Genomic DNA, 12,173 nt, shown 5'->3' with positions numbered 1-12,173 from the left:
TGGAAGGTGGAAGGTGGAAGGTCGAAGGTGGAAGGTTGAAGGTGGAAGAAGGTCGAAGGTGGAAGGCAGAAGGTAGAAGGTGGAAGGCGGAAGGTGGAAGGTGGAAGGAAGATGGAAGGCGGAATGCGGAAGGCGGAAGGTGGAAGGTGGAAGGTCAAAGGTGGAAGAAGGTGGAAGGTGGAAGGTGGAAGAAGGTCGAAGGCGGAAGGTGGAAGGTGGAAGAAGGTGGAAGGTGGAAGGTGGAAGAAGGTGGAAGGTGGAAGGTGGAAGAAGGTGGAAGGTGGAAGGTGGAAGAAGGTGGAAGAAGGTGGAAGGTGGAAGGTGGAAGAAGGTGGAAGGTGGAAGGTGGAAGAAGGTGGAAGGTGGAAGGTGGAAGGAAGGTGGAAGGCGGAAGGTGGAAGGAAGGTGGAAGACAGAAGGTGGAAGGCGGAAGGCGGAAGGTGGAAGCTCGAAGGTGGAAGAAGGTGGAAGGTGGAAGGTCGAAGGTGGAAGAAGGTCGAAGGTGGAAGGCGGAAGGTGGAAGGTGGAAGAAGGTCGAAGGCGGAAGGTGGAAGGTGGAAGGAAGGTAGAAGGTGGAAGGTGGAAGGTGGAAGAAGGTGGAAGGTGGAAGGTGGAAGGTGGAAGAAGGTGGAAGAAGGTGGAAGGTGGAAGAAGGTGGAAGGTGGAAGGTGGAAGAAGGTGGAAGGTGGAAGGTGGAAGGAAGGTGGAAGACAGAAGGTGGAAGGCGGAAGGCGGAAGGTTGAAGGTGGAAGGTGGAAGGTGGAAGGAAGGTGGAAGGTGGAAGGCAGAAGGCGGAAGGTGGAAGGTGGAAGGTCGAAGGTGGAAGAAGGTCGAAGGTGGAAGGCGGAAGGCAGAAGGCGGAAGGTGGAAGGTGGATGGTGGAAGGTACCAAAAAAAACAAAAAACAAAAATTAGCCGAGCGTGGTGGCACACGCCTGTAGTTCAGCTGCTCAGGAGGCAGAGGTGGGAGAATACCTTGAGCTTGGCAGGCAGAAATTGCAGTGAGCTGCCACTGCACTCCAGCCTGGGCACCAGAGTAAGACCCTGTCTCAAAAAAAAAAAAAAAAAAAAAAAAAAAAAAAAAAAAAAAAAAGAATAGGCAAATCCATAGAGACCAAAAGGAGAGTCGTGGTTCCAGTGCTGGAGGTGGGGAGAATTGGGAGTGACTGATAATGGGTGAGGTTCCTTTCTAGGGTGAGGAAAATGCTCTGGAATTAGGTAGTGGCAATGGTTGCACAGCCCTGTGGATATACCAGCACCAGTGAATCGAATACTCAGATGGGCACTGAGAATCTGAGGCTGGCCGACTTATAGCCTCTACTCCTCTTTCCACTTCAACATCTGGGGCTCTCCCTTCTCCCTACTTCCCAAAGCATCTCCACTCCCTGTTTAATTGTGACCATCCCTAGAGGGCTGGCAACAGGTTTCTTTCCAAAGCAGCTCTGCAGGGTTTGCCCCGCCCCTCCCTCTCATACCCAACCCCCTCCTCTTTGTACCCAGACCGTTTACTTATTAAACCAATTAAATTAAATGACTCACATTGCACCCTTGGGCATGAGGCGGGTAAACAGCTCACCAGAGTCTGACTTGCTCTTGAAAGGGCCCGTTTCCCTCCCAGCCCAGCCAACTCCCCTGACCAGCCCCCCAGCGTCCAACCCCCCCATGGAGTGTCTCTCAGGTCACAGTAGGAAGAGGATCGGGGGAGCTGCTAGCCCTTCCCATTGTGCTTTCTCACCCCAAGGAAGGCCACACCCCCTCAAAGAGTTGACACAATAGTCTTCTTATTCCACTGCTTACAAAGCCAGCAGGCAGCTAGCTCAGCATGGCAGAAATCATCTGGAGCCCTCTTGCCCGCCCCTTGCTGCTACATCTTACCCCTACAGCAGCACCAGCGCCATTTCTCTGGGTGCCCCATCCCTGTCAATGCCTGCTTTGAGCTGGATGCTCTGGAGTGTCATGCAGCTAACTAGGTTAGGCAACCTGGGTCCATCGCTCATCTTGCCTGGAGACGAAAGGGAATGGTTCCGATTATTTCTCCAGGCTCCAAGACCTGTGAGCTTTCAGTTCAATGAATGTGGACTGAACTCACTCGGCCATGGAAGGGAACAAAGGTATGCCAAACAAGGACTCAAGGAGGACACAGCAGGTCTCGTAGGGGCGAGTGGATAATTTTAGTGAAATGCAGCAAGGGATGAAACAGGGTATGTGTGGAATAGAGATGTCCTGGCCTCCTCTCTTTCTTGCTCCCACCACCCACAGCACACTTCTCTGCCTTGCTGAGCATGGCACTGGGTGGGGTCACACATTAACAAGTCTGGCAAGATCTTCCCTGGGCCACGCTTAGAATAACCCAGCTCCGCTCTCAGCACCTCCTTCCAAACACCACCTCGGAGGCATCCCTCCTGACAGTCTGGAATCCAGGAGGGAAGTGTGATTTGAGTCAGATCCTGTCCTGGAGTGGAACCGCATGCTCTTGCCACCCCCCTACCCAGGCATTTCCGGCTTTGTGTATTTATAAGACTCTCTTGAACTAGGTACCAGCAAATAGGAGCAGAGACCTGATTTAGGTCAATGAAATCTGCACTGGGGAGAGTAAAGACACCCTGAGAGCAAGTTGGTATTTTTTCTCCTATTCCGTATCCGGGTTTCAGTATCATTTAAATCCCCTAGAAAGCCTCCCTCTCTTCCCATTCAGTGTTGCTTCCCAAGTTTCTCCTGCCCTGGAAATCTCCTTTCCTCCTGTCCTCTCCACGCGCATGAGTTTCCTAAAGCACAGTGGCTCCAGGCCACCTTCTAATGTTCATTTATGATTAAACAGCTGCATTTTGCAGAGCACTTGTCAGCTGTTAACAAGCCCATCCATCCCCTCCTAGGCGGGATCTGAGCTCTCAAAGGGGGCTGGGGGTGGGGCGAAGGTACAGCAGTAGGTTAGTAGGTGCAGGTGTGCAGGGGTCCTCCGCCCCATCAGCTTCAGACACGTTGTCCATCATCTTTGAAGTGTTGGATGACAGGCAGTGATGGGGAAAGCAGTGTTGTCTGAGTGTGTCTGTCTTAGACACCTGCTGGGTAGGAAAAACCAGTAGAGTGTATCTCCACCACTCCTAAGTGGGGCACCTCCCCAGCAAGGCTGTTAAAGGTATGCGCCTCTGTCCAGGCATGAGTCACACGCTGTCCTGCCAACCTCACAAGGTGCATGAGAGGAAAAGACCCTGGTTCCCTGGCTCCTTACTGAAAAATAATTGTGTATGAAAGGCCTCCTGGGGCACTTTGTAGCATGAGACAAAGAGAGTTGTCTAGTTCTCCCTTACTTCGGCTGAAGTGGTAAGTCTGGGAGGGTCAGTCCTCAAAGTAGTATGTTTGTAATCTCTGCTTGGGCAAGAACAGCCTGGAGCTCTGCTGGAAGGGCCTGTGCAAATCAGAGGTCAGAGGGAAAAGGTAATGGGTGAAGTGTTGAACATGGGGTTTGGAATAGTGACAAATATTAAGTGAGAGGAATAAGGCCGATCGGAGGCTGTGCCCAATTCTGGGGGACATCTGCAGAGAACCAAACCTCGGGTATAATTTAAACATTAAAAAGCTGTTTTATTGCTTGAGACCATGAGTTTGAGACCAGCCTGGGCAATGTAGTAAGACCCTATCTCTATAACAAATTTTTAAAAATTAGCCAGGCATGGTGGCACACACCTGTAGTCCCAGGCACTCAAGAGCCTGAGGTGGGAAGATTGCTCAAGCCTGGGAGTTCGAAGCTGCAGTAAGCCATGATTGCATCACTGAACTCCAGCTTGGGTGGCCTGGGTGATGGAGCAAGACCCTGTCTAAAAAAAACAAAAGTAAGTTGTTTCAAAATATGCACTGGACCTTCTGAGGTAACAGAGACACCTTGAAGGATCTGGAAGCTTTCTCTTCATTAACGAATATGAATTGGATGTCCCCCTAGGGACAGGTCTGGGCTGGCAGGGCCAGCGGAAAAGACAGTAAGAGAAGACATTCTGTCTCCACTGGCTGTGGGACCTTGGGCCGAGTCATTTTTCAGATCTCTTCCAGTTACAATGGATGATCATGAGAAATTTCTTTCACAGGTTAGTATCAACGCTCTACTCAAGCACTCCTGACAGGTGTCCACCAAGCTACTACTGGATTTCCAGGGGCAGGTGTCCACCAAGCTACTACTGGATTTCCAGGGGCAGGTGTCCACCAAGCTACTACTGGATTTCCAGGGGCAGGTGTCCACCAAGGTACTACTGGATTTCCAGGGGCAGGTGTCCACCAAGCTACTACTGGATTTCCAGGGACAGACGTCCACCAAGCTACTACTGGATTTCCAGGGGCAGGAATGTTCCGCATGCCACAGTCACGGGCCCTACAGCTGGAATGCTGCTACCTAGTGCTTTTCTTTGGTAGGGCCTCCTAGAATAAGCCCTACCCTTTTGTGAGAAAGTGCTTCCACCACAGATGTAAACTCTTGTATGTAAACACAGAGCCACTCGCAGGGCGTAGGGTGTGGGGTGAGGGATGTAGGGTGGAGGGCGTGGGGTGAAGGGTCGCCACAACAGCAGTGCCCCAGGCCACGTGGCTCCTTTTCTCTGAGCTCTGTCAGGTCATTTACATCCATGTTCTCTGTTCCCACAGTGTCCAAATTCCAAGACAGTGGAAGCGTCTGTCTAATCCACCAGACAGCACCCAGGCCCAGTGACACTTCCAGACGGGGGCTCTGTGCCAAGGGCAGTGTAAAATGATGGGGTAAAGCCACTCAACAGAACACTGTGGTGAGTTAAAAGGGTGTGGAAGGCCACACACACTAACCCAGAAAGGTGTTCAAAACATATAGTTATGTGAAAAAAGGTTGCCATATATATCACAAAAGTGACACTATCAAAAAAACGCTTAAATCTGTCATGGCCAGTAGGAACTTAGGGAGACCCAATGACTACAGAGGTCTAGGAACAGAAAAGGGATATCTGAAAGGAATTCAGGATACAGTATGAACTTGAGTTAATAATAACATCCGATATTGGTTCATTAATCATGACAAATGTACCGGGGCTTAATGCAAGATGCCAATAATAGAGGAAACTGGGTGTGAGCAAAGTGAGAGCTCTCCAGACTACCTTTGCAATGTTGGGTAAATGAAAAACTATTCTAAAATTAAAAATTCATTTAAAAATGCACTTGGCCGGGCACGGTGGCTCACGCCTGTAATCCCAGCACTTCGGGAGGCCGAGGCGGGCGGATCACGAGGTCAGGAGATCGAGACCATCCTGGCTAACACGGTGAAACCCCGTCTCTACTAAAGATACAAAAAATTAGCCGGGCGTGGTGGTATGTGTCTGTAGTCCCAGCTACTCGGGAGGCTGAGGCAGGAGAATGGCGTGAACCCGGGAGGCGGAGCTTGCAGTGAGCCGAGACCGCGCCACTGCACTCCAGCCTGGGTGACAGAGTGAGACTCTGTCTCAAAAAAAATAAATAAAATAAAAAATAAATAAAAATGCACTTGTAAGTATAGGAGCCTCTATGTGTATGTGTACAGGCATCACAGAGGCATAGAAAACACTTAGAAGGCATATTGAATTTTTTATGGTGCTTACTTCTGTGAAAGCACCTTTTAATATTATATACCTTTGAATTTTAAAAAATAGAAATAAAATGTTTTTAAGTAGAAAAAAGAGATGGAAATGAAAATATAGGAAGATAACAGTTTTAAACTTCTCTGTATTTCATTGTCCCTGTGATTGAAAGAGCAGTGGGCTAGAAGTCAGGAGACCAAGGTTTTGGTCCTTGTTCTTTCACTGGCTTTGTGATCCCAGTGACCTCCTGATCCTTGGTTTTCTTAGTTATAAAATGATGATATTTAAGGACCATTGTAAGTGTTACACTCTATGATTTGATAATAAACACACACAAATGAAGAACGATTTTCCTGTTGCTAGCAGATCCATCATGGATGCCTGAAATAATAAAGCCTGCCTAATGAATTTAAAATAGTTCCTAAAAAAAAAAAATCTGAACTGCATAGAATGTTTCAGGGACATACCTATAGGCATACTGTACCTGTGCTGTATTAGAGGGTAAAAAAATGAGACAGACAAATCGGGTTACAATCTGATTTATAAGAAGAGTATCAGCTGATGCTTACCTGGCTCAGATCTATGCAAATGAAAGAAGACAAAAATAGATGGATGGAGTTGCAAATGGCAACTCTCCCACTTGTCACTGATCTAGGGCTCTTCATGGGAGAGGGTTTAAAATCCTTGGTGGGTTCCACAGAGCTTTGTCTCCAGCTCCTCAGTCTCCTCCCCCAACTCCTATCAACCCCAGAAGCAGGATAATTTGAGAGGTAGACCTATTCAGACCCCTATCTCTCTGCAGACAGCAATCCTGGGCCCCAGCAACATGAAACAAGGGTCTTCAGGACACTCTCCCCCATGACAATGAAGTGTGGCAGGGAGACAATACTTCATGCAGTGGGAACATTCTGAAAATGGACAGGAAAGCATGAGAAAGGCCAGAAAATGCAAAAGCCAAACTCAAGGATGGGGCAAATGTTCCCCCAGGCAAATCTCAGCAAGCGCCAATTCTTGATTTCAGGTTTCTCCAAAGCAATTCTCCAATCCAAGATGGATCAGGGTTCAAATGGCTGGGCAGACGGCCCTTCCTTTCCCCTCTGGGCTTAGGGAGTCCAGGGTTGGAGGCTGCAGTGGGAACAGAGGAAAGGGGGCTGCTGTAAGAGCCGCTGATGCTGCTGTCAGTTCTCTGGGCGAGGTTGGCCTGGTGGTCACTGTCCCTCTGCTCTTTCACCAGCTGTTAGTTAATTCTAGGAGGAGAGGGAAGCCCCAAGTTGTCTCAAAACAGAGCTACCAAATAACTAATTAATTCACTCATTACATAGTATAGAACATCTGTTAAAACCTCTGGTGAGGCCAGGCGTGGTGGTTCACGCCTGTACTCCCAGCACGTTGGGAGGCCAAGGCAGGCAGATCACAAGGTCAGGAGATTGAGACCATGTTGGCCAATATGGTGAAACCCTGTCTCTACTAAAAATACAGAAAACATTAGCCAGGCGTGGTGGTGTGCACCTGTAATCCCAGCTACTCGGGAGGCTGAGGCAGGAGGATCGCTTGAACCCAAGAGGCGGAGGTTGCAGTGAGCCGAGATCGCGCCACTGCACTCCATCCTGGGCAACAAGAGCGAAACTCCATCTCAAAAAAAAAAAAACCTGTGATGAATTCTTTTTAAGACTACATTTTCACACAAGGGTTTTTGTGGGGGAGGGCAGAAGGGTTAAGAGACAGAAGGGTTAAGGGAATTAAGGGCAGAAGGGTTCAGAAAGAGAAGATTTGACAACATGGTGATGATAATTAATAACAGTATGTGGGGTTTTTTTGTTTGTTTGTTTTTTTGACAGAATCTCACTCTGTTGCTCAGGCTGGAGTGCAGGGGTGCAATTTAAAGCTCACTGCAGACTCAAATTCCCGGGCTAAAAATTAGCCAGCCATGGTAGCCCGTGCTTACAGTCCCAGCTATTTGGGGGCTGAAGTGGAAGGATGGCTTGGGCCCGGGAGGCGGAGGTTGCAGTGAGCTGAGATCACACCACTGCACTCCAGCCTGGGCAACAGAGTGAGACGCCATCTCAGAAAAAAAGAGTTCGGGGGCGGGGGGGCGGCTGCGGGGTGGAGAGAGGAGGCTGGATTTGAGACACGTTTCATGATTGTATAGAGGTGAGAGGACTAGTGGTCTTTATATTTTACTTAAATTCTGGTGTATAGTATTGGATTTCATTTTCTTTTTTTTTTTTTTGAAAAATTGTGTTTTTGTTTTTGTTTTTTTTTTATAGACAGGGTCTCGCTGTTGCCCAGGCTGGAGTGCAGTAATGCAATCTCAGCTCACTGCAGCCTCGACTTCCCAGGCTGAAGTGATCCTCCTGCCTCAGCCTTCACTTTTCTTTCTTTTTAAGCAATGAGCATGTGTTACTTTAACACTTTTTTTTTTTTAATTGAGACAGAGTCTCACTCTGTCTCCCAGGCTGGAGTGCCTTGGCATGATCTCGGCTCACTGTAACCTCTGTCTCCGAGGTTCAAGTGATTCTCCTGCCTCAGCTTCCCAAGTAGCTGGGACTACAGGCGCGTGCCACCACACCCAGCTAATTCTTGTATTTTTGGTAGAGACGGGGTTTCACCATGTTGGTCAGGCTGGTCTCGAAATCCTGACCTCAGGCAATCCACCCACCTCAGCCACCCAAAATGCTGGGGTTACAGGCGTGAGCCACCATGCCCGGCCACTTTTACACTTTTAAGAAGAAGGCAGTAGGTGGTCAACAGTGTCAAATGCTGCCAGGTGAATGGGAGGCAGCTGTTCAGAGATCAGTGGATTGGGGAACTGAGGTCCACCCAGGTTCACAGACCTTAAATGACTTGCTCTAGTCATCACGAGCTTATCTGTATGGTAAACAGTAAGAAAGGAGGGCTTGGCTGTTAGGAGTGCAGGTGGGGGTGGAGGAGCAAAGCTGACTTTGGCATCTTTCATCCAACAAGCAACAAGTTCCTTAAAGACATTAATTCACTGCTCCACACAGCAAAGAGGCGTGAGCAGTGAGCCTGAGGTTCATTTTACAGGTCAGAAATCTGAGATGCAGACAGGAAAAATGCTTTATGCAAGAGCCTGCGGAGGATTTGACAGCTGATGGCAGAGAAGTCACAGCTCCCAGGAAACATGGGCTTTGAGGAGGGAGGTGGCTGTCAACAGAGTGAAAAAGAGGCTGTGTGAGTGGCAGCCATGGCTTGGTGGCTGGGGCAGAGTTGAGATTGTGAGGTGTGGTCACTGAGCGGATAGGTGTGTCGGTGAGAGAACAGGTATGCAGGGCTGGGACTGTAAACCAGGGAGGCTGTGGTCATGTGAGTCACTGCGCACACGCTCACAATCCCCAGGATTTCCTTGCTGGGAAACAGGGTAGAAAACATCAGCCAGCAGCTGCAAACCCAAAACTTCCTATTATTGCCTCTGTTGAGTCACTGCATCTTGTCTAGCTGCTAGTTCCTACTCAAGAACTTGTTTAGGAGGGCACAGTGGCTCACACCTGTAATCCCAGCACTTCGGGAAGCCAAGACAGGAGAATAGCTTAAGCCTTGGAGTTCGAGACCAGCCTGGACAACACAACAAGAACCTATCTCTACAAAAAATAAAAATAAAAAAATTAGCCAGGGTAGTGGCTCACGCCTGTAGTCCCAGCTACTCTGGAGGCTGAGGTGGTAGGATTGCTTGAGCCCAGGAATTAAGGCTGCAGTGAGCTATGATCACACTACTGCACTCCAGCTTGGGTGGCAGAGCAAGACACCCTCTCAAAAAGACAAAATAAAATAAAAGAACTTGTTTAAACAAAAAGGAAAAAGTGCTCACGTGTCACTCCTCCTGAAATAATAGCAAGGGTCGCTACCCTCTGCAAATCTGTGCTAAGAACACCACTCACTGCCTTCCAGATTTTAACTTCCCTTGCTTCATGTCTTTCTTGGCCTCCCTCTTCCTCAGTCTTTCTCTTAACATTTCATCTTTCACCCGCCTGTTTCTCCTTTCTCTTTCCAATCCCTTTGTATCCGTCTCTTAACATGTCTCTCAGCCCTGTGTCCCTACACCTCTTGCCTGTCCTCATCATTTGGAACCAATGCAACACTGGAAGCAGACCCCTAAAGCTGTGATATAATATTTTACCTTCAAGGGAGGCCCCAGAGCGTATAATTAGGAGGCAATGAGCGCAGCTGCCAGGCAGAAGAGGCGCTTAACTACGACAGTTGCTCCAAGTCAGAGCACCTGATGCCGAGGGCTGCAGGACGCTGGGACACAGGAAGCCCTGTCAACAGGTGGTCCACACAAGGTCAGCCAACTGGGTCCATGCCCGGGGGGAATGCAATGGAGAACACCCTCATAAACAAGTTAATCTGCCTAGCTCAGATCTCCACCTCCTGGGAAGGCAACTCAATCCTCATTCTGTGTGTCTGGTTTATCCTGAAGCCCAGCAAGAGGCTCAGGCTTGTTCTCCCCTGTCCTGTGCTCTCAGCCTTAGGAGAGGCCTAGATCCCACCTAGGAGACGGAATGAAGTCTGTGACAGAGGCAGCAATAAAGGGCGAGGGGAAGGCCCTGCCTCAGCTGGCCCAGGCCCACTCATGGATTCACGTGAATCCATCAAGTCACCCTGGTGGACTGAGCACCTGCCGTAAGTACAGTACCGCCTGCACCGGTTCTGTGTGAAGAAACACAGGCAGAGATGACCGACAAGAGAACAGCATGGTTCCCAGATTCAGCTCTTAATCAGGATCATCACAGGGCACTTGGTAAAAACAATGATTCCTGGACTCTACCCAGACCTCCTGAATTAGAATTTCTCATTCTAAATGTAGGGGCATCTGTATTTAACAATCTCCCTAGTTGAGTGGCCAACTGGGCACCACCGACTTTTGGGACCCAGTGGGTCATGTCACTGTGCAATCCTCAGCCTCTAGTTCTCTGACCCCTATTTCTTTTTCCTTTTTCTTATTTTGAGACAGAGTCTCACTCTATTGCCCAGGCTGGAGTGCAGTGGTGCAAACATAGTTCACTGCAGCCTCGAACTCCTGGGCTCAAGTGATCTTCCCTCCTCAGCCTCCCGAGTAGCTGGGACAACAGGTGTGCGCCACCACACCTGGCTAATCTGATCCCTATTTCTCCAAGCCTTTGTATAAAGATAAGGTACAAAGGATGCTGTTTTCCTGTTTAGAGTGTAGAATAATAACAGTAGCCTTATCTCAGTTACACACTTACATTTCACAACAACCCTGCAAATAGATTAGTTTTAGTAGTAGTATTCCTTTTTATGGAGGAAAGACCCTCTTTTATGGAAGAAGGAAATAAGCTGAGAGACATTGATTAAGTAATTTGTCAGTAAATACTTAGCCAAGTAAAAAGTGGGGCCAGCGCAATGGCTCACGCCTATAATCCCAGCACTTTGGGAGGCTGAGGGGGGTGGATCACCTGAGGTTGGGAGTTCGAGACCAGCCTGGCCTATATGGTGAAACCCTGTCTCTACCAAAAAGTACAAAAATTAGCCGGGAGTGGCTGGGTGAGCCTGTAATCCCAGCTACGCAGGAGGCTGAGGCTGAGGCAGGAGAATCGCTTGAACCTGGGAGGTGGGGGTTGTAGTGAGCCAAGATCTTGCCACTGCACTCCAGCCTGGGTGACAAAGTGAGACCCTGTGTCAAAAAAAAAAAAAAAAAAAAGCAGTGGAGCCAGGATTCAAATTCAGATTTATCCAGGGGTGAGTTCAAAATGCTTACAGCACCATAATACGGGCATTGAGCACTGAGAATGGATGCCAGCCCTGGCCTTGAAGCACGGTCCTAGAGACACACTGTAGCCAGGCATGACCCCATTCATTGCTGGATAGTATGAAGGCCTGGTGGGTCCCGGGTTGGGGCACCCACGGGATTCAGGGCAGTAGCTATTTACCTCCCAATACAGAAATATTTCAGTATTTCAGCATAAGTGGAATGACCGGAAGGTGTGTACCAGCCGAATGTCCATACTAGAAAGCCAAGGTTCTGCCCACTGCATCATTCTGCCCAGCTCAGTTATCCTGGCTCCCACCACCTGCCACTGGAGCCCTGTTACATGCAGGACTAGGCTCAGCAGAAAGCCATTAGAGAAACCAAGCCACAACCACAATTTAAGGCATCAGAACCTTAGATGTGATCCTCCCATGAACCTCCTGTTGAAACTTGCTTTCAGAACCTTTATCCAGGTTGATAAGTGAAAGATAAGATTTTAAAGAGTTGCTTCTGGCTGGGCGTGGCTCATGCCTGTAATCTCAACACTTTGGGAGGCCAAGGCGGGAGGATCGCTTGAGCCCAGGAGTTTGGGGCTGCAGTGCGGTATGATTGCTCCACTGTACTCCAGCCTGGGTGACAGAGCAAGACCCCAACTCTTAAAAAAATTAAACGTAAAAAAAAAAGCTGCTTCTCCTAAAAGTTTGTGCATCTGCTGGAGGTGAAAGCCTTAAGTTAGAAGTTGCAAAATCCTAACGTTAGAGGATGCTGTGCTATCGAACAAGAGAGCAACAAGAGAATGGCCAGCAAGCCTCGGCAAGAGCAGCCCAGGGAGGCAGGGCTGGGAAATGCTGGTGCTGAAAACAAGAAAAATAAAACAGCTGCCT

The 12,173-nt window shown here is 48.9% G+C and overlaps 1 protein-coding gene and 1 long non-coding RNA gene across 2 annotated transcripts in view, besides 3 other annotated features; one reads left to right on the top strand and one right to left on the bottom strand.

The window, feature by feature from the left end:
* B4GALNT3 (beta-1,4-N-acetyl-galactosaminyltransferase 3) overlaps positions 1 to 12,173 on the bottom strand; it is a 103,571-nt gene that overhangs the window by 51,403 nt on the left and 39,995 nt on the right. The gene's annotated exons all lie outside the window — the stretch shown is intronic.
* Positions 679 to 1,325: an enhancer, noted in NCBI's record as "H3K27ac-H3K4me1 hESC enhancer chr12:619948-620594 (GRCh37/hg19 assembly coordinates)". NCBI's record gives its function as "activates a minimal SCP1, AML or CMV promoter by ChIP-STARR-seq in naive H9 embryonic stem cells {active_cell/tissue: H9 hESC(naive)}" and the evidence as "EXISTENCE:reporter gene assay evidence [ECO:0000049][PMID:30033119]".
* Positions 2,169 to 2,742: an enhancer, noted in NCBI's record as "H3K27ac-H3K4me1 hESC enhancer chr12:618531-619104 (GRCh37/hg19 assembly coordinates)". NCBI's record gives its function as "activates a minimal SCP1, AML or CMV promoter by ChIP-STARR-seq in naive H9 embryonic stem cells {active_cell/tissue: H9 hESC(naive)}" and the evidence as "EXISTENCE:reporter gene assay evidence [ECO:0000049][PMID:30033119]".
* Positions 3,937 to 4,382, top strand: LOC124902852 (uncharacterized). The gene is made up of 3 exons (XR_007063150.1): positions 3,937 to 4,115; positions 4,152 to 4,259; positions 4,332 to 4,382. It is a non-coding gene; the product is annotated as an uncharacterized LOC124902852 (long non-coding RNA).
* Positions 9,832 to 10,547: an enhancer, noted in NCBI's record as "NANOG-H3K27ac-H3K4me1 hESC enhancer chr12:610726-611441 (GRCh37/hg19 assembly coordinates)". NCBI's record gives its function as "activates a minimal SCP1, AML or CMV promoter by ChIP-STARR-seq in naive H9 embryonic stem cells {active_cell/tissue: H9 hESC(naive)}" and the evidence as "EXISTENCE:reporter gene assay evidence [ECO:0000049][PMID:30033119]".

Source organism: Homo sapiens, chromosome 12 (genome assembly GCF_000001405.40).
Source record: "Homo sapiens chromosome 12, GRCh38.p14 Primary Assembly".
Lineage (NCBI taxonomy): Eukaryota > Metazoa > Chordata > Mammalia > Primates > Hominidae > Homo > Homo sapiens.
This window is presented reverse-complemented; position numbering and strand designations above follow the sequence as displayed.